The sequence below is a fragment of the Homo sapiens genome, chromosome 5, assembly GCF_000001405.40.
Source record: "Homo sapiens chromosome 5, GRCh38.p14 Primary Assembly".
Lineage (NCBI taxonomy): Eukaryota > Metazoa > Chordata > Mammalia > Primates > Hominidae > Homo > Homo sapiens.
The window spans coordinates 108834412-108859248 of record NC_000005.10 but is presented as its reverse complement, the minus strand read 5'-3'; the positions used below and the strand labels follow the sequence as shown (position 1 = coordinate 108859248).

Here is a 24837-nt window from a genome sequence, read left to right as displayed (position 1 = left end):
CTGTAGTGGTAGATCACAGCAGTGACAGCAATGTAAGAGTTAAAGAAAAGAGGAAGTGAGATACTATGTCTCATCTACCAAATTGAGAAACACTCTGTTGGCGAGGATGTGGAGAAAAAACATTCATACATTTCTAGTAGAAATGCAAATTGGTATAATCCTTATAGAAGGAAATTTGGCAATATCTAACAAAATCACATGTAAGTATACCTTTTAACCCAGCCATCACACTTCTTGGAATTTATATCACACTTTTGGGAATTCATATCTCCAATCACACACACAAACACACACACATACAAAACACATACATAAGGTTATTTATAGTAGGAGTACATATAATTAGAAAAATCAGAAATAAGCTATATGTCCATATGTAGGAAAGGGCTTAAATAATCTTAAAATAAAGTGGCATGCAGCTGTTGAAACGAATGAAAAAACGAGCAAGAGACTGTGAGGACAGAAAAAAAAAAAAAAAAAAATGAAAAAACTGTCTACCAACTCAAATGTTGTCATTTTCAAGATGCATTATCAATGGAGAAGCAAAGGAAAAAGAATATTATATAATCGTAGTTTTGTGTAAGAAAGAAAGGAAAATAAAAATGATTGAGTTCCCTATATGGTTTTGAACAGTATTAACTTTTGGAATCACTAAAGTTTCACATAGAAATAAATAAACAAAATTAACAAGGATAAGAGGGAGGGGGGAAAATAAAATGAGATACAACAGAAACAAATGAACCAAACTGTATTTCCAGTGAATAACACTAACCACACTAAAAGGAGTAGGGAAGTAACTTTGTAAAAAACTAAGTAACTTTGGAAAACAGTATTTGATTACAATAGAAAGCTAAAGACAAAAAAAGCTTTAAACAAATACCAAACTGTAGTCTTTAAGTTTCATTTTTCAGAGGCATGAGTTAGCAATACTGAAATTACTTTCTGTGTATTCTAGCATTTGAGCAAGTAAGTAAAATATTGTGAACAACAGAAGCTAGGTTTCTCACTGCCAGAGAAAGCAGTTGCAAATATATAAATAGGAAGAGGAGGAATAAACTGTATGGTATTGGACTAGAATTTGAAGTATCAATGTGAACCCCTCAGTGTATCCCTAGACAGACCAATAGATAACAGAAGAAAGCACAGGTGTACATGAATGTGTACGTGTTGCTTATTTCCTGTGTCTGTCAATTAACAGGACCTAGAATAAGATACTCCACTAGCAATGAGCACACCAATGGCCAGATACTGTTTTCCAAATATAATTCTCCACTAAAAGGAACTAGGGTTTCATAGAGAAATGGAACCTGAAGTAGGAAAAGTATAAGATGAGCCAGAAAATACGTATTCAATGAATGATAGGAATGTGTCAAAAGGACAGAGGAGCCAGTTTGAAGTGGCTCCCACTGGCCAAATCCGAGCATGATAGTATATCATTATGATAGTATAAAATTATAATCCATGAATAAAAATCAGAATCTGTGAGTTCATTCTAATACATTAAATTAATACATAAATTTAAAAAATAAACAGGAGGGGAAAGCCCTTCCTTATATTAAAAACAAATTAATAAATGTAAAAGGAATAATTGAATTAGAAAATTACCATTTCACAATTGCCATAATAATAAATGATTTAGGCAGGAACCATTGATAGACATAAAAACTAGTGGGTGAAAATCTGAAGAGTAACACCGTATTTACATAGCGTCAACGTTTTCCCTACAATACTTATTAACAAAAAGAAAAATGAAAATGTAACTTAAGTGTGGAGAAATCAAGCGTATACCACCTTACTCCAATGATCAAATTAATATCCAATAATGGGATGAACTGACATCATGGACCTGATATAAAGCACCAACAACAGAACATCATTTCTATGGTATTCCTATGAAAAATAAATAAATATTATGCAGAAAAACAAATCAAGGAATACTCCATAAAATAACTGTTCTATACTGCTCAAAAATGTCAATGTTTTGTGAACCATAAAGACTATTAACTGTTCCAGTGTAAAGGCAACTAAAAAGATATGACAACTGAATAAATATACATTTACGTTTTTATATTTACACATACACACACATGCATATATATGTATGCACCACATACAGAGACAGAAAAGCATAAAGCAAATGTGGTAAAATGTGAACATTTGGGAAACATGAGTGAACGGTATATGGGAATTCTTTCTACTATTCTTTCAACATTTCTCTAGGACTGAAATGACGTTAAAATATAGTTAAAAGAAAGCTGTGAAAATTGGATCAAAATTTTAAAGTATCAGAATATTCATTGTATCTAAAGAACTGGTATTATTTAGCCTACAGATAAGAAACCTCAACAATTTGTTCTTTAAATATCAAAACACTGATTTCCTAGTTCAGAAAAGAAAATTTAGTTTTAATTTGTATGTCTCCTAGCAGGTATGTTTCCACTACACGTAATATTAACACACAAAGAAGTCACACTGAAAAAAAAAAGATTTAACTCTACTTTAGAAGACTAGTCGAGTGTGTGGAAGAACAACATTTACAGAAAATTTAGGGCATTCATCCTTTAAATGTTTATCTACAATCCATGGTGTCCTAGGTTATGTGAGGGATGCACAGTTATAGTCTCTTCCTAAAAGATACTGGATACGAAAATTAAAATGAAAGCTGACCAAATAGTCATCATGTTAGGATATGACTGTATCAAAAATGTAGAGATCATCATTAATTTAGCATAAACAAACACATACTAACCTCCAACTCCTAATATGTACTATGATACGAAAGGTATCTAATAAGTTGATGAACACACTTAACAAACTGGCTTAAAAGCTACATGTTATGCATAAAATATCTCTAGAAAAAGCAGATAATATCTGTTGCCTCTGGAGGAAAAAAATGAATAATGAGTGGGAAAAAAAACTTTTTCATTGTATACTTAATGGTTTGTACCTTATGATTTTGAAATCTGAACCATATTAGTGTGAAGAGGGAGTCTGTGAACCCCATTTTTAAAAATTACTCTGAAGAGAACTTCCATAAGCTTTCACCAGCATATCTAACCTTTTTATCTGAATTTATATCTCTCCATCTCTCCTAAGCTATTACTATGAATAAACTGTCCTTGTTCAAAGTGAAGACTAATCTATTTATTGGGGTACTAGATGTATCCTCTCTCACCTACTCAGGGACATTTCTCCAGCAATTCTTCCTTCATTCCTGCTGCCTCAACTGTTTTTCCTTCCCTAGAAGTGCACTTCCATCAGTAAACAAGCTGTAATAGCTCCCAATCTTGAAAAAAAAAAAAAATCCTCCCTTTACTACACTTCTTCCAGTTAATTCCGTATTTCATTCCTCCCCTTTACCGCAAAACTGATACTAGTTATCTCCAGTTTCTTTTTTCTCCTTCTTTCTTAAACCCAGCCCATTTAGGGTTTTCCCTGTACTACTCCACTGAAACTTCTCTTGTCAAAATCACCAATAACCTACACTTTGCTAACTCCAAATCTTAATCCTCACCTTATGTTTTAGCAGTATTCAACCTAGTTGATCACTTGCTCTTCCTTGAAACCTATCTTCCCACATCTGTCTTCCAGAATAGTACATTCACTTAGTTTTCCTTTTACATTGGTCTTTTGTATTCTTTTTTTTTTTTTTTTCGCTGGAGTGCAGTGGCGCGATCTTGGCTCACTGCAAGTTCCGCCTCCCGGGTTCACGCCATTCTCCTGCCTCAGCCTCCCGAGTAGCTGGGACTACAGGCGCCCACCACCGCGCCCGGCTAATTTTTTGTATTTTTTAGCAGAGACGGGATTTCACCGTGGTCTCGATCTCCTGACCTTGTCATCTGCCCGCCTCGGCCTCCCAAAGTGCTGGGATTACAGGCGTGAGCCACCGCGCCCGGCCGGTCTTTTGTATTCTTTTTAACTCTTTATTTCGCTGACTTCTTAATGTTGGGCTCAGTCTTTGTTAAGACTCTTCTCTTTTTTATCTTCATTTATATTACTGGTAATGTCATAAAATCTCATGGCTTTAAATGACAATTAACATTTCATATTTATAGTTCTACTCCAGACCTCTCCCTGGAACTGCTGAACTAGAGATTTAATTCAACAGTTCCACTTGAGTATCTAATAAGACTCTAAAAACCAGTCTTCCCACATTTTTCCCATTTCAGTTAATAATAATGCCATTCTTCCAGTTGCTCAGGCCAAAAATCTTGGAATCAGTCTTTTCTTCTTTCTCTCACAAACTACATCCAATTCAATGGCAAATCCTCTACGCTTTTTTTTTTTTTTTTTTTTTTTTTTGAGACAGGGTCTTGCTGCTCTGTCAGCCCAGCTGGAGTGCAGTGGGGGCAATCTTGGCTCACTGCAACCTCCGCCTCCTGGGTCAGGCAATTCTGGTGCCTCAGCCTCCCTAGTAGCTGGGACTATAGGCGTGTGCCACCAGGCCTGGTTAATTTTTTGTATTTTTAGTAGAGACACGGTTTCACCATGATGGCCAGTGGCCAGGTTGGTCTTGAACTCCTGGCCTCAAGTGATCCATCTGCCTCGGCCTCCCAAAATGCTGGGATTACAGGCATGAGCCACCACGTCCAGCCCGCTCTACTTTCAATATATGGTAGATTTTCATTATTTGTGAAAGCTGCATTCCTGAATTTACCTACTGGGTAAAATTTCTTTAAAACCCCCAAAACAATACATGCATTGCATTCCAGGTCAGTTACAGGCATGCCATGTGCAGAGCAGCAAAAAATTTGAGTAAAGGCACAGGTTCTTAGCTGAGGTTGAACAAAGTTAGGCTCCACTTTTTGTTTCAGCTTTCACAACTGTAAACAATTTGCAGTCTATGTGGTGCAATTTTCACATTTTTGTGAATTTTGTTGGTGATTTCACTGTTTGAAACGGCTCTAGTGCCGAAGTATAATGGTCGTACACTCAAAAAGGCTGTGATGACCCTTTAAGAGAAGATACCTGTACTAGATAAGTTTCATTTAGCCATCAGTTATAGCACCATTGGTTGTGAGTTCAATGTTAAATTAGGTGTCTTTAAATGAAAACATACATAAAATAAAGTTATGTATTGATCAGTTGCTGAAAATGTTGTGTCACTGCTTGCAGGAAACAAACCTTTATGTCCCCTAGGTGAAACAAGTCAGCACTAACTAATTTAATGTACACAGTGACTTTATCAAACTACCATGAATAACAAGAATTAATTGTTTATACAGAATTTGAGCACTTCTCAGCACTTCTTTTGCTACCAACCAGGTCCAAACCAGCATGACCCCTTGCCTAAACTACTGCAATAGCCTGGAAGTAACTGTCTCCTTACTTCTGCCCTTCCTCTCTCATTTCAGACTATTCTCAAAAAGGTTACAACAATTATCCTGTTAAAATGTAAGTTCATTCACGTCACTCCTCTGCTCAAAACACTCCAATGGCTTCCCATCTTACTTGAGTAAAAGTCAGTGTTTTAAAGGAACTACCAAGATCCTACATAATCTATGCATCGCCTGTCAACCACCATCATTCTCCCTCTCTGACCTCATCTCATACCTCCATGCCTCTCTCTTATCAATCAACTCAGTTATAGACAAAAAGGTATCTGTACTGATCTTCAAATATGCCGGAAATGATAAAATCTCAATGACTTTGTTTGGTTATTCCCTCTACCTAGAGTACTCTTTGCTACAGATGATCACATGGTTCACTCCCTGACTTCCTTCATTCTTTATTTAAATGTTTCTTTCTCCATGAGGAATACATGATCATCTTCTCAATACCCAATCTTCCTACCTTGTTTCATTTTTCTCCATGGTATTTATCACCATTTCATATGCTATGTTTCACTTATTTATTTTATGAATCAGCTATCTTCTGCTCTAAAATGTAAGCCTCAAGGAGGCTGGGATTTTTGTATGTATTGTTATCTACAATATCCCAAATTAAGAGAGCAGTGACTAACATATAGCAAGAACTCAACAAATAGTTCTTAAATGCATAAATTGATATAGTTCTTATTTGAAAAAAAGAAATTTAAACAAATCAATTTTTAAAAAGTTATTGAAAGATTATAATTTTACCTTGTGCTGTTCAGATCACGCTGTTTATATTATCAATTCTACCCTCTGATATTTATATCATCTTTTTAGTAATTAAGTCCAAAACTAATATTGCAAAGAAGCTTACCGATAAAATATAGAAGATAATTAGCAAAAAGACAGAACTTCTCTTAAGTTTTTCATGTGTAGAACTTAGCTTTGTTTACTTATCAAAACTAAGCAAAATATGGACAAATTTAGGAAGTAATACAAAGAATATAAATGAATCATATAGCATATTCCATCCCATATATTTCAGTGTTTAATGAGATTATTATAGCTGTCATTCCAATTTCTGCACAGCTTTAAACCAATGCAAATTAAAGCTAAGAGTGCCATTACTTTTAATTACCTTGTAAAATTCCTATCATATTAATGAAATTTCACTTCATACTTTATGCAGCAAAAAGCATTCATTCCATAAGTTAGCTGCTGATATATATTAATCACTAAATCCAAAAATAAGTGGAAACCTCTCATTTTCAGGTAACTTCAGTAGAATTCATGACCAACAACTGTAGCTTGAACTCTACTTTGGCCACTACCATGTCCAATATGAATTTTTCCATATGTTAAACTGAGAGAGAAATTTGAATTCCAGAATATAAGGACCTCCATATATCACCTGAACATAAATTTGATATTTAAATATCGCCAAAATATACAGATATTGAATAAGAAGGCTAGTTGCCATTCTTGGTGACCTCAAATTGAGGAAATCAACTAAAAGAGCTTTTAAAAAGTCGTATCCATTTTTTAAAATGTGGACTTATTTAAACATAAATTTAACCATCTGTCTCAAGGCTGGACTCATTTCAAACTGGTTTTCATAATTAAAGTACTCTACAGAGACAACTCAACAGATCTAATCAATTTTAATTGGCTATAAAATATCACAAACTATTCATAATGCATGAAGAGGCAATTTAAGAAAATCTACTTCCCAATTACAGAAAAATTTACTTTTGAATGAGACTTGCAGCTACTCCCCACAGTTCTAGCAGTAGGTAATCCTCTTACTCTGTCTGCTTAGGGTAAATGACGGCTTATAAATTATCATTGGGTTTACCCATCCCTTAGCATTCTTTTATTTATCATAGAGAAAGGATAATTAGGAAGATAGTTTGTTTCCCCACTTGTGTGATAAAAGAGGGTGAAGAGAACTCCTTTCAAGTGCCTCTAGACTGACTGACATGGGCATGTGTAATGTGGAGTAGCTATCCTGTTTTCTTTCTTTTTCCTGAACATGATGTATGATAAAGCAGAAGCATTCAGACTCCTACTCATGTAAGAGAAAGCCTTTATAAATACTATGATGGGTATTTTGAGGCTTGGTAAACATAAAACCCTAGCATAATTCTAAACATACAGAATCAATTAAGTAGGCTATATCTGAATATATAATTACAAGGTAGTTATTTTTAACATCTTTTCTGATACTTCAGAATATCTTTAAGTAAACTATAAAATTTCAAAGAAAAATCACATTTGAAATTATTAAATTCAATACCATACAATTAAATATGGTTTTGCTTACATATTATAAAATTGGCATGCATTATATTTACTCTTAATTTTTGTTTTTGTTTTTTTTACTTTGAACAAAGTACTACATGGCATCCGCACAAGAACCTGCATGTGTATATATATAGGTGAAGATGACTGATATGGTTTGGCTTTGTCCCCACCCAAATCTCATGTTGAATTCCCACATGTTGTGGGAGGGACCCAGTGGGAGGTAACTGAATCATGGCGGCAGGTCTTTCCCATGGCGTTCTCATGATAGTGAATAAATCTCACGTGAATAAGTCTCATGAGACTGATGGCTTTATAAGGCAGAGTTTCCCTGCCCAATCTCTCTCTTTGCCTGCTGCCATCCATGTAAGACATGACTTTCTCCTCCTTGCCTTCTGCCACGATTGTGAGGCCTCCCTAGTCATATGGAAATGTAAGTCCATTAAACCTCTTTCTTTTGTAAATTGCCCAGTCTTTATCAGCAGCATGAAAACAGATTAATACAATGATGTATATTATCTACAACATGAACAAGTTGAGGAAATGGTGAGCCCAAAATATCTGGGAATAAATAAACTCATATAACTCTCAGAACAAATTAGGAAGGATGATAAACTCCACTAAGACTCTAAAACTTAGGTTAATGTGTTTTGGTCTTTCATTATCATTAACAGAGTTTAATTTAATTCATGTTCTTCATAGGAAGAAGCAAAACCAACAAAGGCCATGGACACTGAAATCAGACAGATTTGGTTTCAACTATTTCTTTATTCTCCCAATCATGTACTTGAAAACTGTTTGTCTATGAGAAATTTCCAGAGAAACTATCTAACATTGTAAGTGACCATTATTAATTTTTGTGAATACTGTAAAATAACGGTGTAGTAAAATCAATTATGATCTGCCCTAAATAAACAAAATTACTGTAATAAACAGAATACACAGATATTCTTTGCAGCATTTCTTCAGAAATCCCTTGACAAGAAAAAAAATAAAAAGTAAATCTTAAAAGTTTAATGTTTTCTAATAGAAAAACAAATAGTATTCCAACTTAAAAAAAGAGATAACACATTTTCCTTCAAGTTTTATATAAAATTTTTTCTCATTTCACATGAGATCAAAAGACAAATCAAGCACAACGACAAATTACTTAAAGGTGTACAGTGATAAACCTAAACTTATGGAATCCCTTGAAAAATCAAGTACTACAAAAGGATTATCTAAGTATAGTATACAAAAACTTCAATTATTTAACTTATGCAGAAGAAAAATCAGAAACACCTTAACTGGAATCCTCAGATTAATTTATGAAACAAAATAAACACATGGAAAAGTATATTATAGATATCATACAGAAAAACAGTAGAGGATCATTATAAATTTCAAGAGGAAAAAAAAACAAGCTCAAAAAAGGCACTAATAATATGATTTTTTTTTTTTTTGAGACGGAGTCTTGCTCTGTCACCAGGCTAGAGTACAGTGGCACGATCTAGGCTCACTGCAACCTCCACCTCCCAGGTTCAAGCAATTCTCCTGCCTCAGCCTCCCAAGTGGCTAGGACTACAGGCGCGCACCACCATGCCCAGCTAATTTTTTTTTGCATTTTTTAGTAGAGACGGGGTTTCACAATGTTGGCCAGGCTGGTCTTGATCTCTTGACCTCATGATCCACCCGCCTTGGCCTCCCAAAGTGCTGGGATTACAGGCGTGAGCCACCGCGCCTGGCCCTAATAATGTGATTTTTAAACTTCCATCATTTCACAAACAAAATTTTATTATTATTCTCTCTGTCATGAATCAAGGCAATGTTCTACATTTTCTCCTTGGACTAGAAGTCTTATAGCTTTATTAGAAATGTTAATGAGACCCAGTCTAATGAGTTTAAAATGCACAATGTATGGCATCTCATCAAAAGTTATCAGGCATTCAAAGAAGCAAAAATATCTAACCAAAATGAAGGAACAAATCAATCAACTGAAAGTGACTGACACAGATGTTAGAACTGGGTGACAAGGATTTCAAAACAGTTATTATAGTGGTATTCAGTATGTTCAAAAAGTTAAGTAGATATATAAAAGGTTTAAGAAGAGACCCAAATCATACTTGAGGAGGCAAAACCTATACTGCCTGAGATAACAACAACAACAACAAAACAAAACAACAACAACAACAACAACAACAAAACCACCACCAGATGGGATTAAAGGCAATTAGGCATTGCAGAAGAAAAGATTACTAAACTGTTAGACATAGTCATAGAAACTAACCAAAATGAAACAAAAAAAAGACAAGGGGAAAAAAATTATCAGAGCATTAGGAGTCTGTAAGAGAACTACAAGCAGCCTAATATATGTGTAACTGGAGTCTCTGAAAGAAAGCAAAAAGAGAAGGGGAGACAGAAAATATATGTGAAGAAATAATGGCTGAAAGTTTTCCAAATTTGATGAAAACTAAAAACTCAAATACAAGAAGCTCAAAAAACACAAACATAAATTAAAACTTTAATAAAAAACTTACAACAAAGTAAATCATGATAGAATTGCTTAAAACTAATGATAAAAGGAAAATCTTAAAAGCTACCAAAGGAAAATGAAATGTTCAGAGCAACTAAGATAAGGATTAGAGCAGATTTCTCCGTGACAAGGCACTGGAGAAACATCTTTAAATACATAAAGAGGTAAAAATCTGTTTAAAAAAAAATTCTATACTCCCAAAAAATATATTTTAAAATGAAAGTGAAATAAATATTTTTTCGGACATACATAATTCATTACTTGCAGACCTACATTACAAGAAATGTTAAAAGTAAGCCATTCAGGCAAAAGTAAAATGATACCAAATAGAAATAGAGACATAGATAAATAAATAAAGAATGCTGGAAAAGATAAGTACTTGGATAAATATATGAAATATTTTATTATTGAAGATAATTTACTATTTAAACAAAACAAAAACAATGTAGTGTGTAGTTTGTAACATAAGCAAAAGTAAAATATATAAAATATATCACAATAATAGCACAAAGACAGGAAAGGGAGAAACAGAACTATCCTATTGTAAGATTCCCATACTATATACATGGTATATATACAAAGTGGCATAATACCAGTTAAAGGTATATTATAGTAAATTACATACAAAATAAAATAAAACATTAGAGCTAACAAATTAGCAGAAGAGATAAGAATCTTCAGAAAAATGTTCAATTAATCCAGAGAAAGGTAGAATAAAGGCAAAGTGAAATACAGAATACGTGGAACAAAAAGAAAATAAACTGCAAAATGACAGATTAAACCTAACATTATAAACAGTTACATTTAAATATTGGTCTAAATGCCACTAATTAAAAGGTAAGGATTATCAAGAAACAAAAGAGATAACTATATGCTGTTTACAAGAGATGCATTTCAGAAATAAAGACTGAAACTGGTTAAAGTATGAAAAAAGAATATAGATAGGTCAGATGTGGTGGCTCATACCTGTACTCTCAACACTTTGGGAGGCCCAGGGAGGCAGATAACTTGAGCTCAGGGGTTTGAGATTAGCCTAGGGAAGATGGCGAAACCCCATCTCTATAAAAAGTTAGCTGGGCATGGCAACACATGCTCGTATTCCCAGCTACACAGTTGGCTGAGACAGGAGGATTACTTGAGCCCAGGAGTTCGAGGCTGCAGCGAGCTATGATCGCACCACCACTGCACTCCAACCTGAGCAACAGAGTGAGACCCTGTTGTAAAAAAAATAAAATATAAAGTAAAAAAGGAAAAAGAAAAAATATACTACATAAACACTAATCAAAAGAAAGCTGGAATGGCTACGTTAATATCAAACGGAATGAATAACAGAGCAAACAATATTATTACCAGGCATAATAAAGGTCATTTCATAATAATAAAGTAGTCAGGTCATCAAAAGAATATAATACTCATAAATGCTTACATACCAATAATAGTTTCAAAAGACATAAAGTAAAAACTGATAGAACTACAAGAAGAAATACACAAATCCACAATTATGGTTGGCGATTTCAATATCCTTCCATCAATAACTGATACAACAGGTAGACAAAAAAATTGTTAAGAACATAACAAATTTGAATAATACTATTAAACAACTGGACCAAGTTGACAATGTAGATCACTCCAAAGAACAATAGCATAATACACATTCTTATCAAGTGCACATAAAGCATTTACCAAAACAGACATTTACTGGCCATAATAAACTATTACATAAATGTAAAAGAAATAAAGTCATAAAAACATTCTCAGACCACAACGAAATTAAATTTTAAAAAATTAAAAAACTCTAGAAAAACGATAAAACATTAGGAAACTAGACAACATTCTTCTAAATAACCTATGAATCAAAGAAAAACACACACAAAAAAATAATCAAAAAGGAAATTAGAAAGCATTTTGACCGGAATAAAAATGAAAACATAATATATAAAATTGAGGGCAAACTGCAAAAAAAAAAAGTATTTAAGGAACTTTAGAGTACCAAATGCTTGCATTTGAAAAGAAGATGGTTCTCAAATCAATGACCTCAGCTTCCACATTAAGAAAAACAGAAAAAGTGCAAACTAAGCCTAAAGCAAGCAGAAGGAAGGAAATAAGGACAAAGCAGAAAGTGTTAAAGTAGAAATCACAAAAACAGAAGAAAAAAGACCAAAAGCTGGTCTTTGAGAAGATTAATAAGACTGATAAACCTCTAGTCACAATGATCAGGAAACAAGAGAAAAACTACTAATAAAGGAAATGTCACTACACATTCTATAAATATAAAAAGGTGGGGAGGCCGAGGCGGGAAGATCACAAAGTCAGGAGATCGAGACCATCATGGCTAACATGGTGAAACCTCGTCTCTACTAAAAATACAAAAAAATTAGCCGGGCGTGGTGGCAGGTGCCTGCAGTCCCAGCTACTTGGGAGGCTGAGACAGGAGAATGGCGTGAACCCGGGAGGCAGAGCTCGCAGTGGGCCGTGATCGCGCCACTGCACTCCAGCCTGGGTGACAGAGCAAGACTGTCTCAAAATAAATAAATAAAAAATATATAAATAAAAAGGTGAATAAAGGACTATTATGAACAAATTACTATCAATACATTCTATAACTTATATGAAATGGACAAATTCCTGAAAAGACAACCTACCAAACCTAAAATAAAAAGAAACAAACTAAGTAGCCTCATTTTTCTTTTTTTTTCCAGAGACAAGGTCTCACTTTGTCACCCAGTCTGGAGTACAATGGCATATAACTTCGTACTCCTAGGCTCAAGCGATCCTCCCCCTTCTCAGCCTCCCAAGTAGCTGGGACAACCAACACATGCCACCATACTGGGCTAAAATAGCCTATATTGATTACAGAAAGTGAATTTATACTTTAAAAGCTTAACCAAAAAGGAAAAATAAAAACAAGCAGATCCAGATGGTTTCACAAGCAAAGTCTACCAATATTTAAGAAAGAAATAATACTAACTCAACACAAATCTTCCTAGAAAATTGGTGAGAAGGTAATCAGTCTGAGGCCAGCATTATCCTCATATGAAAATGAGACAAAGACATTACAAGAAACATAGACATAGGTGATAAATTATAAACAAAAACTTAGCAAATCACATCCAACAATTTAAAAAGTAGTAATACATCATGACTAAGAAAATTGTATCCTTAGTCATGACTAGCGAGATTTTATGCAAGGTTGGTGTAATATTTGAAATGTGAAAATCAATCAAAATAACCATATTAACAAACAAAATAGGTATCTATTTATCTCAATAGATGCAGAAAGAGCATTTGACAAGATCCAACATCCATTCTAACACAGGAATAGAGAAAAATTACTTCAGTAGGATTTTAAGTCTTTAAAAAACTACAGCAAACATCATACTTGAAGGTGAGAGACTAAATAAATGCTTTACACCTAAGTTCAGGAACAAGGCAAGCCAACATTGTTTGCTCCTCTCACTTCTATTCAATATCATACTGGAGGATCTAGCCAGGGCAATTAGGCAAGAAAAAGAAAAAGAAAAAGAAGGAGAAAAAAAAGTCACCTAGATTGAAAAGGTAAAAGTAAAACTGTCTTTATACATAGATAACATGATCCTATAAGTAAAAAATCCTAAGAAATTCATTTTTAAAAAACCAACTAGAGGCCAGGCACGGTGGCTCATGCCTGTAACCCCAGCACTTTGGGAGGCCGAGCAGGCATATCACTTGAGGTCAGGAGTTCAAGACCAGCCTGACCAACATGGTGAAACCCCATCTCTACTGGAAAAATATATATACACAAAAAATAAGCTGGGAGTGGTGGCAGGCACCTGTAGTCCCAGCTACTCAGGAGGCTGAGCCAGGAGAATCGCCTGAACCTGAGAGACAGAGGTTACAGTGACCCAAGATGGTGCCACTGTACTCCAGCCTGGGCGACAGAGCAAGACACCATGTAAAAAAAACAAAACAAAACAAAACAAAAGTCTACTAGAATTAATAAACAAGTTCAGTAAGTCCATAGGATAAAAGTTAATATTCAAAAATCAATTGTGTGTGTGTGTGTGTGTGTGTGTGTGTATATATATATATATATATATATATATGTATATATATATATATATATATATATATATATATATATATATATACACACACACACACCAGCAATGAACAATCCAAAAATGTCATTTTATTTGTAATGGCCCAATACTGGAAACAACCCAAATGCCTATTAACAGGAAAATGGATAAACAAACTGTAGTAGATCCATACAATAGAGTCCTAATGAGCAATTTTAAAAAGTGAATTACTCATACATGCAACAACATGGATGGATTTCAAAATAACTATTCTGAACAAATTAAGGCAGACAAAATAGAGTGTGTACTATATGGTTCCTTTTTAAAATATTCTAAGAAATGAAAACCAAACTATACAGTGACAGAAGGCAGTTCAGTAGTTGCCTCGAGATAGAAGACGGAAGATCACAGAGAGGTGGAAGACAGGGATTACAAAAGGGCACTAGGAATTTTTCAGGGGTGAAAGACATGTTCATTATCTTGATTGTAGTAATAATTTCACAGGTGTGTACATATGTCAAAATTTATCAAAATAAATATTTTAAATAGGTGCTGTCTGTTGTATGTTAACTGTATCAAAATGAACCTGTTAAAAAATAAAGAGGGTAAGGGCAATTCTTCTACATGGCAATTAAACACAATATATAAACCTTTATTTGGACCCTGGATCCAAAACAAACAAGGTTATAAAGGACATTTTTGTAATGAATTTGAAAACAGATTATATATTTAATTTTTTTAGTGTATCAAAGTTTAATTTCTTGGGCATATTAAATTAGGGTTGTGTTGGAAAATACAGTTCTTAGAAAATATATGCTTAGGTATTTAAAAGGAAATGTTATGATGTTACAATATACTTTCAAGTGCTTCATCAAAAGAAAACTATATATATATGTTCACACATATATATGTTCACACACACATATATGTTCACACACATATATGTGTTCACACACATGTTCACACACATATGTTCACACGCATATATGTTCACACACATATATATGTTCACACACATATATATGTTCACACACATATATATGTTCACACACATATATATATACATAGAAAGAGGCGAAACAGAGACAGCAGAAGCCTAGCCGTGACAAAATTTTGGCAATTTTTGAATCCAGGTAAAAAGTATGCAGGAGTTCATTATGTTATCATTTCAACTTTTCTACGGGCTTGAAATTTTTTTTAATTAGGTAAAAATTTGATTTTATAAAAATTTCAACTTTCAGCCAGGCATGGTGGCTCACACCTGTAATCCTAGCACTTTGGGAGGCTGAGGTGGGTGGATTACGAGGTCAAGAGACAGAGACCATCCTGGCCAACATGGTGAAACCCCATCTCTACTAAAAATACAAAAATTAGCTGGGTTTGGTGGCGCACACCTGTAGCCCCAGCTACTCAGGAGGCTGAGGAGGAGAATTACTTGAACCTGGGAGGTGGAGGCTACAGCGACCCGAGATCACACCACTGCACTCCAGCCTGGCGACAGAGCGAGACTCCATCTTGGGAAAAAAAAAAAAAAAAATTCAACTTTCAATGGCTTGAAGGTAGGGTCCACATCTTTTTCATTTTTATATCTCTGGCATTTACCAAACAAAAGAAATTCTTATTAAATGAGTGATTAAATGAAGGATTAATACATAAATGTACTCATATATAAATATAAAATGATAAGGAATAGATTCAGAATAATTTGATATTGAAATAGTTGCCCCAATAAGGATCATCTGAGACCTTTCTTTCATTTCTTTTTTTGTTTTCCATAGATAGATAGATGATGGAATACTACTCAGCCATAAAAAAGGAATGAATTAACAGCATTTGCAGTGACCTGGATGAGATTGGAGACTATTATTCTAAGTGAAGTAATCCAGGAACGGAAAACCTGAGTTATGTTCTCACTGATGTGTGGGAGCTAAGCTCTGAGGATGCAAAGGCATAAGAATAATACAGTGGACTTTGGGATTTGAGGGGAAGAGTGTGAGGCAGGAGCACTCTGTATACACTCTTATATACACCACAGTTTCTTTATCCACTTGTTTATTGATGGACATTTGGGTTGGTTCCACGATTTTGCAATTGTGAATTGTGCTGCTATAAACATGCATGTGCATGTATCTTTTTCATATGACTTCTTTTCCTCTGGGTGGATACCCAGTAGTGGGATTGCTGGATCAAATGGTAGTTCTACTTTTAGCTCTTAAAGGAATCTCCACTCTGTTTTCCATAGTGGCTGTACTATTTTACATTCCCACCAGCCGTGTAGAAGTGTTCCCTGATTTCCATATCCACGCCAACATCTACTGTTTTGTTTTGTTTTGTTTTTGTATTATGGCCATTCTTGCAGGAGTAAGGAGGTATCACATTGTGGTTTTGATTTGCATTTCCCTGAAAATTAGTGATGTTGAGCATTTTTTCATAGGTTTGTTACCTATTTGTATATCTTCTTTTGAGAATTGTCTATTCATGTCTATTCATGTGCTTAGCCCACTTTTTGATGAGATTGTTAGTTTTTTTTCTTACTGATTCGTTGTAGATTCTGGATTTTAGTCCTTTGTTAGGTGTATAGATTGTGAAGATTTCCTCCCACTCTGTTTACTCTGCTGACTGTTCCTTTTGCTGTGCAAAAGCTCTTTAGTTTAATTAGGTCCCAGCTATTTATCTTTGTTTTTATTGTATTTGCTTTTGAGTTTTTGGTCATGAAATACTTGCCTATGCCAATGTCTAGTTTTCTTTCATTTCTTATGGTGACATTCTTTATTTTTATATAATTTTTGTGGAAAAAATCCAACCTATACAAAAGTAGAAAGAATTGTTCAATATCTCCATGTACCTATCAACTGGTTTGAATGATCATCAATTCATGATCAATCATGTTTCATCTATACTTCTATCTATCTACTCCCTATTCTTTAGATAATTTTGAAGCAAACCTCAGATATCACATCACTTCAGCTGTGAATATTTCTGCATTTAATGCAAAAATAAAGAGAACATCAAAAAAATCACAATTTCATTATCAAAGCTATAATATAACAAGATTTCCTTAATATCAAATATCCTGTCTGGGTAAAATTTCTCAGGTTATCTCATAATTTTAATAGTTGATTTTCAAAAAAGGACCTAAACAGCATCTATATAAATACATACAAAAATACTAATCCTTACAAATCCCAGGTACTTACAACATAATTTATTCCCACAACCATCCATCACTTCTTCACTGATAAGACATAGGAAAAAAAGAAAGGAAGACTGAGTATTTTGCACACCATTGGTCCAGAAAGACCTCCCACTTGGCTCTCACTCTCACCTGATGGTACAAAACAGACTGCAGGTTCAGCAGCTTAAATACTACTTTGTTACTCCTGACACAAACCTTCACTATTCATGTTTTTAAAATTAATTAACAGACTAAAACCCACATTAGAATTATTTCCCATGAACAACAACAGCATTGATGATAGTCAAAGGGAGTTGTTAAGGCACATCATGGCAAACAGTACCTGAATTCCCCATATTTGCCAGAGCCCCCAACAAACCTCTCGATGTCTCCTAAGAGATAAATCTCAGAGTATTATTTATTTCCTAATATATACAAGTTAAAAGTTTTTAAAAATATATTATTTCCTTTATACTACTTAGTGCAGATACAAGCTTTATGGATTCACAAAACTGTTTTATGGCTAAACCTAACCAAGTGTTTAACCCACTAAAGGTGTTCGGAATTTAACCTTCAATAGGAAGGTAAAATCTGTGTATTTTGCATTTAAGTACCTGTTATTTTATGCTGATGTCAAGAAACACTTCTAACTGAAATGCGTTCACTACCTAGTAAAGTGACAGCCCTGAGCAAGAGGCTTTCTTTGCTCACTGCTTCAAGCCAGCATTACCTTAAAGGGTTCATGACTTTGGAAAGAGTTAAACGTAAAAAGAGAAGGGTATCAGCAAAGCTTTTGGAATTGTTTTCCCATTTCCAGCTTTTTATTCCCTCTTTACATTGTTCTCTGTTTCTTCCCTCAACCCTCCTTTCTCTTCCCAGTCATCTGCTAGGCATTTTACAAATGATGGGCTGTTAACGTAATATTGCTACTGGCAAGGATGATCAATGGATGCCAAGCCATTGGATAGAAGGTTGTTGGGGGATAGGTTATTCACACATGCCAATGTATCTCTCTGCAGTTACTTACCAATTACATGGGGTAAAGGTACCTTCACAATGGAGAGATCTGGCAGTCACTACTTGACTAAAGAAATCAAACTTGACTGAGCACTAAGAGTAAGACAAGCCAACTTTATGTGCCTCCTGGTAGGATGCAACATAAAGTATACATCGTCATCTATGAAGCAGTCCTGTCAAAAATGTTTGACCTGAATCTAATCAAGCCTCTAGAACTATCCTTAAATTTACAGGAAATATAGGGGATAGATCAGGGACAAGTTAAACAGTAGTCATGAGAATGCAATCAGACAATCCAGCATATGAGAAATTTTACAAGAAAACTGGACTCCAGAAAAAAAAAAAGTCATGAGTAAAAAGTAGGAGGACTGTTCTAGATGAAAAGACTAAGAGTCTACAGACACAACAATCAAATGTGGTATGTTTACTTTGATCAGATCCTGGTTCAAAGCAACAACAACGAAGGAAATGATGGACAGAAAAAAATAAAAACTATTAGATTGGTGCAAAAGTAATTGTGGTTTTTGACATTATTTTCAATGGTGAAAATAGCTATTACTTTTACACCAACCTGTATAAGAGACATTCTGGGGAGACCAGAATATGGACCGGATATTAGATGATAATAGAGAATTATTTATTGTTAATTTTATTAGAAATGATAATTGCATTGTGGCTTTTTAGAAGAATGTCTTTATTCTCAGCAGATGCAAGCTAAAGCATTTACCGATCAAGAGTATATGACGCCTGAAACATACATTCAAATGATTCTGCCAATGTGGCAGAAGGTTAATACTTGTTGAATCCAGTATGCATATTCACTGTCCCATCCTTCTAATTTCTACGTTTGTTTTAATTTTTTTTTAAAGGTTGGAAAAAATAAAATGAGAGGCTGCTTGTTGGGGCTGGACGAGTAGATATTTTTTTCAACCTGTGTAAATTAAAGTCAGTCCCGATAAAGAATCTGATTAACTACTTTTAGAAAATGGCATGGGATGGCCGGACGCGGTGGCTCACGCCTGTAATCCCAGCAGTTTGGGAGGCGAAGGCAGGCGGATCACGAAGTCAGGAGATCGCGACCATCCTGGCTAACACAGTGAAACCCCATCTCTACTAAAAATACAAAAAATTAGCCAGGCGTGATGGCGGGCGCCTGTAGTCCCAGCTACTCCAGAGGCTGAGGCAGGAGAATGGCGTGAATCTGGGAGGCGGAGCTTGCAGTGAGCCGAGACAGCGCCACTGCACTCCAGCCTGGGAGGCAGAGCGAGGCTCCGTCTCAAAAAAAAAAAAAAAAAAAAAAAGAAAATGGCATGGGGTTGGGGTAGGAAGAATTTCTCTGTGGCTACTTTCTGCTTCCTGCTCTACTTATTCTTTTTAAAAACCCATTGGATATTTACAGATACTTTCCATTCCCTTCTCCTCACTCAGAGCAGACTTCCTTAAGCAGCCTACAGGCACTTGACTAGCCTAACTCCCCAAAATCTTCTCTTCCTACCTGGACTAACTTGGTTCCTTTTAACTTTTGATTTGACAATCACCTAGGATTCCTTTCATTTTTGGCTAGCCCCAAACTATTACCTTCACCTGATTTGTGGGAGCCACAATCCTTCACCCATTGTTCTTTCTTCTTGGTCAGCTCTTCTTACTTATTCTGAAGGAACATTTAGAGGCATTTGCATTTTTATTAAATCTAGTAAAGGTGATTTCCCGTCTATAAGAGGCACTGACATGGGCCATGAACAGCTGTGGATATGTATGTGTTTAGTAGTGATGGTAACAGTGGGGGAATCCTTTACTACCTTTTGTACTTCTTTGTATCAAAGGGTATTTGTATCTAAATGTTTGTTAAGGCAATGAAGGAAAAAAAAAGAAACACCTCCAAGTTATTAACTTCAGCTCAATAGGTTAAAATTATTTTGGTTGTCCTCAGCATCCATTATAAGTAATAATCAATCAACTAATGTTCAAATTAGTCCAAGTCAATTTAAGATAAAATGCAATATACATGTGCTCCCTCAACATACCACACAGCAATGCACATTTAATGTTTAAGGTGTATTATTTTTAGAATGTTTAAGGTGTATTATTTTAGAATGTTTAAGGTGTATTATTTTAAGGTGCATTTAATTTTTAGAAAATTAAAATGATGCTAAATTCATATTGTAAATGAATGTTACATTTTACATTATACTAAACATAAACGAGTGTTCCTTTGTATATAAATTTTAACATTCAAAATTTAAAATATCAGTTTAATTTATACAGCAGGGGTCAGGGGTTTGTAGTTTCAGCATTAACTCAGCCTTCCTGCTGGTTTACTACTACTACTACTGCTGAACTCCCAGTTATAGGAACTGAACCCTTGAGTCCAAACCCATTTCTTGATCAAATATAGAATTTATCTTACTATAGGAATTATTTCCAGGCCTTGTTTCCCCAAGGCCTGTCTTCTCTAATTGGATGCTCTATGTTAGATTGGGATTGTAAATAACTTTTCTAAGACCTTCCAATGTCTAAAGTAATGACTCTGGATGCCAGACAAATATCTGAGTAGCTATTGTAAGCACCCCGCAGTCTCTAGGGCCCATTCCAAAAGTGTCCTAATCTGGCCCATGTAGGTGAACTAAGGTTCTGACATAAAGCCTATATATGTTGGAAAAATTTGCCATTACAGCTCATCATCCTTGTAAAGAGTAAATAACTCCACAAAACTCCTATTTCCATAAAAACAGAAGCAGTTTGAAACATAAATTTTTCAAAAATAAAATTTTATACTTTTTCATTTAAATATGAGTATAAACACAGTTTTGATTATAAAAGAAAAGTTTACCTATCTCTCATGTGTGAAGTGGATATATAAAAGTACTTATTTTAAAAGTAACTATATATTCTGTAGGATTTAATGTGAGAAATCAAATTCTTGAAAACAGAAAAATACTATCATGAATACCTTTAGAAAGACAACTAAGCTTGTATAATTTTTAAAAAAAGATTCAAATAATTCACTTCTTACAATTTATTACAAGTATGATCTTCAGATTCTCTCGTTGCCTTCCAACTATTAATACAATACTAAATGGTGTTTCATCTGAATCAAGAGTAAAGAATAATGATTTTCCATAATCTTTTCTAATATAAGCATTAGGTACAACAATTAAAACTTTGACATCAGAATTAGATTTTGCTTTTAAAAAAATAAACTGTATCACTAAAAACAGATATCAAAGACTTGAAAGTACTTATGTATTTCTTTTTCTAACTAATAATTCTCCAACATATACAAACCTAGTGCGAAATACACAACATAGCTGGATTACAATATGGTTGCTGTGGGTGAAGTTAGATATGGATATTTGCAATGTAATTTAATTAACTTGAGAATGCTAGCCAGGCATGAAGCAATGAACTTTATAAAATTAACTATTTTGACAGATTAAGAAGTAATGTTTAATGTATAAAGTTATTTTTAAACTATTCTTGATGATTTAGCAAGGGATACCTTGTGAAAAAGCTAAATTTTGCAAGAGAGTGAGACTTGGAGTTCTCAAGTTAGTGAACCAGACTGTAAGCTCCTTGAATGCCTGGCAAATATTGTTTTGAATCTCAGTAACTTAAACATAGCAAGTGCCCAGTAAATATTTCTTGGTTATCTAAAGCACTCCTAAAATAACAAAGGAATAATAATTAGGTATAGGAAGTTTGAAAATCTATGAAATAATCACACAATGTTGGAACTTAAATCCAGGACTCTCTGACTCCAAAGCCTGTGCTCTTTCCACTGTCATTTCTTTCTTTGCTTCACTAAAATAATTTAGATAATTTAAAGATAAAAGCATTTCAAAAGATATATCTACATTAATAGAGACCATAATCTCAAAGTCTTGGCTGAGTTACATGACAAATAAGTAAGGAAACTGTGAATATGCATACAACTTCCCTAGTAAATTGGGGGAAGCGGGGAGAGAAGGAGACACAAAGTAAATGTTGGGGTAAGAAGTGGAGGAGGAAGAGAGAGAAGGGGGACAAACAGGGAGTCCAAGGGAGAGGAAGGAAGAAGATAAAGAAGAGGGGAAAAGGAGAGAGAAAGGAAGGAGAAGAGAAAGAACTGCATTTAAATCAGTATCACTTCTAGTGTACTGGGAATAACAACAATATTTTCATTGTGCAAGATACAGCCAAATGGAGGAGCTGTTTACTTCATTTACTATGACAAAATAACGAGAATGTTTAACAAATGAAAGATAAAGAGAAAATGTAGAGAAAGATGAATTTAAGAACCAAAATAAAATAGAGATTCTAATAAACGCTTTATTTAGCTAGAAAGAAAATTAACAAAACAAAAAGAAAAATCCTCCAACTTTCATAAAGAAAAAATGTATAAATATGAGTGGTTTAGGCACATTTAAACATAAGGAAAATATTGCCCAATTATAGCAACAGCCAAAGAAGTTTCTGTTCATAAACTATGCTTAGTCTTTACTGAAATCTAACATTTCAAAATTTAGATACAAGATCACCTAAGTACTTAATAAGAAATTATAACCATAAATCTCTGTTTGAAACATAAATAATATGCTTCTCTTTCCATTTATTTTTAAGACTTCTTATGAAAATTTTAGGGCAATATAGACACATAAAATTAAGCTATAAAGAGAACATAATGCTATAAAATGATGTGGTTTTAATGACTTAAATAATACAGGTAAAAAAGAAGATTTTAAAAGTTTCTAAATAAATATACTCCTATTTTTCTTACTTAAGCACTCTGTAATTAAATAAGTAAATATGATGCAAGAGAGAAAATTTTAAACATCCCTTCAATTCTATTACACATGCTACATAATTCCATTTAGTATGAACTATTCGAAAATACTTTGAGTCATTTAAAGCAATGGAAAATTAGTAAGACTTACTACACTGTTTGACAATTAGCCAATGTGGGTTTATTTTGAGTTTTTTATATGTGAAATGCTCTAAATGGAATCATTCCACTACTTACAAAGATAACTTTCAAACAGTAAGAATAAAAATCACCTAAGTAAACAATTTTTAAAATTTTGCCTTACCTTTAGCTAAAGCTTCTTTATATTTCTCTTTGGCAGAATTCATTTCTTTTATTAATTGTCTATAGCTGCATTTTAACTTCTCCAATTCTGTTTTGGTAACCTGTCAAAGAAACAAAATGCATAAATGTATTAAATTGTTTAAATTTAAATTGCTCAAGAACTTAAATTCCAAAGTATTAACTGATGTGTATTTCACTACTTACAGGTCAGAGTTGTCCTTTAATATACAACTATAGAAAATAAACTACAAGTATGTTTTAAAAATCAGTACTAAATTCAATAGCATGTGAAAACAAATAAACTTTTTTAAGAGAATAGCAAATCAGGCCAGGCACGGTGGCTCACGCCTGTAACCAGCACTTTGGGAGGCTAAAACAAGCAGATCACTTGGGGTCAGTAATTCATGACCAGCCTGGCCAACACAGCAAAACCCTGTCTCTACCAAAAATACCAAAAAAGGAGCCAGGCTATGGTGGCGCATGCCTATAATCCCAGCTACTCGGGAGGATGAGGCACAAGAATCGCTTGAACCTGGGAGGCAGAGGTTGCAATGAGCCAAGATCACACCACTGCACTCCAGCCTGGCTGAAACTTGACTCAAAAAAAAAGTGGGGGGGGGGGGGTGGCGCAAACGAAGAAATAACACTGCCATTATCTAAAATTTAAAAAAATTAACTTAGTATGTGCAGAAATATTTTCTGTAATTAAACAAACCATTAAAATATTATTTCTGTGGAACAATGAAACAAATGCAAGTCCTTGACTGTAGTCAAAAAGTCATTTGAATGCAATTTAAGGAAAAAATATGTGTCCCAGATATTGTCTACAGATCTTCAAATTTGCCATTTGAGAAGATTAAGAAAGAGAAAGCATCAAAACCTTGCAAAAGTGGTTATCAGCAACTTGGAAGATAATCTCAAACCCCTTTTAAAGAAATTCTGTATCACCAATGTTCTTGATGACACAGACGATGACACTGTGTGAATAAACAAAAAATATAAATATAAATGAGTTCAAATCATTCTCCATTCAAGAAAAAACTCACTGGTTAACTTTGTAAAACTATTTGGTAAAAGTCTGATACCAAACTTTTTTTTTTTTTTTTTTTTGAGACAGAATCTCCCTCTGTTGCCCAGGCTGTTAGGGCAGTGGCATGATCTAGGCTTACTGCAGCCTCTGCCTCCAGTGTTCAAGCAATTCTCATGCCTCAGCCTCCCAAGTGGCTGGGGTTACAGACGTGCACCACCGCACCTGGCTAATTTTTGTATTTTTAGTAGAGACGGGGTTTCACCGTGTTGCCCAGGCTGGTCTTGAACTCCTGACCTCAGGCGATCTGCCCATCTTGGCCTCCCAAAGTGCTGGGATTACAGGCATGAGCCACCGCACCCAGCCAGAA

The 24837-nt window shown here is 34.4% G+C and overlaps 1 protein-coding gene across 22 annotated transcripts in view; it reads right to left on the bottom strand.

Moving 5' to 3' along the window:
- The window catches only part of FER (FER tyrosine kinase), a 448945-nt gene that overhangs the window by 337593 nt on the left and 86515 nt on the right, over positions 1-24837 (bottom strand). For 19 of the 22 annotated variants that reach the window (NR_146155.2, XR_007058589.1, XR_007058591.1 and 16 more), the window contains one exon: positions 23442-23541. The exons of 1 other annotated variant lie outside the window; for it this stretch is intronic. Coding sequence is in view for 17 of the 21 variants with exons in the window: in NM_005246.4 (NP_005237.2) it covers positions 23442-23541 (100 nt within the window). In the remaining 4 variants the exon portion in view is untranslated. Of the gene's footprint in view, positions 1-14292; positions 15698-16247; positions 16988-17380; positions 17419-23441; positions 23542-24837 lie in introns of those variants that run through there. 2 more of the 22 variants (NM_001308038.2, XM_047416947.1) reach the window with 2 other exon arrangements.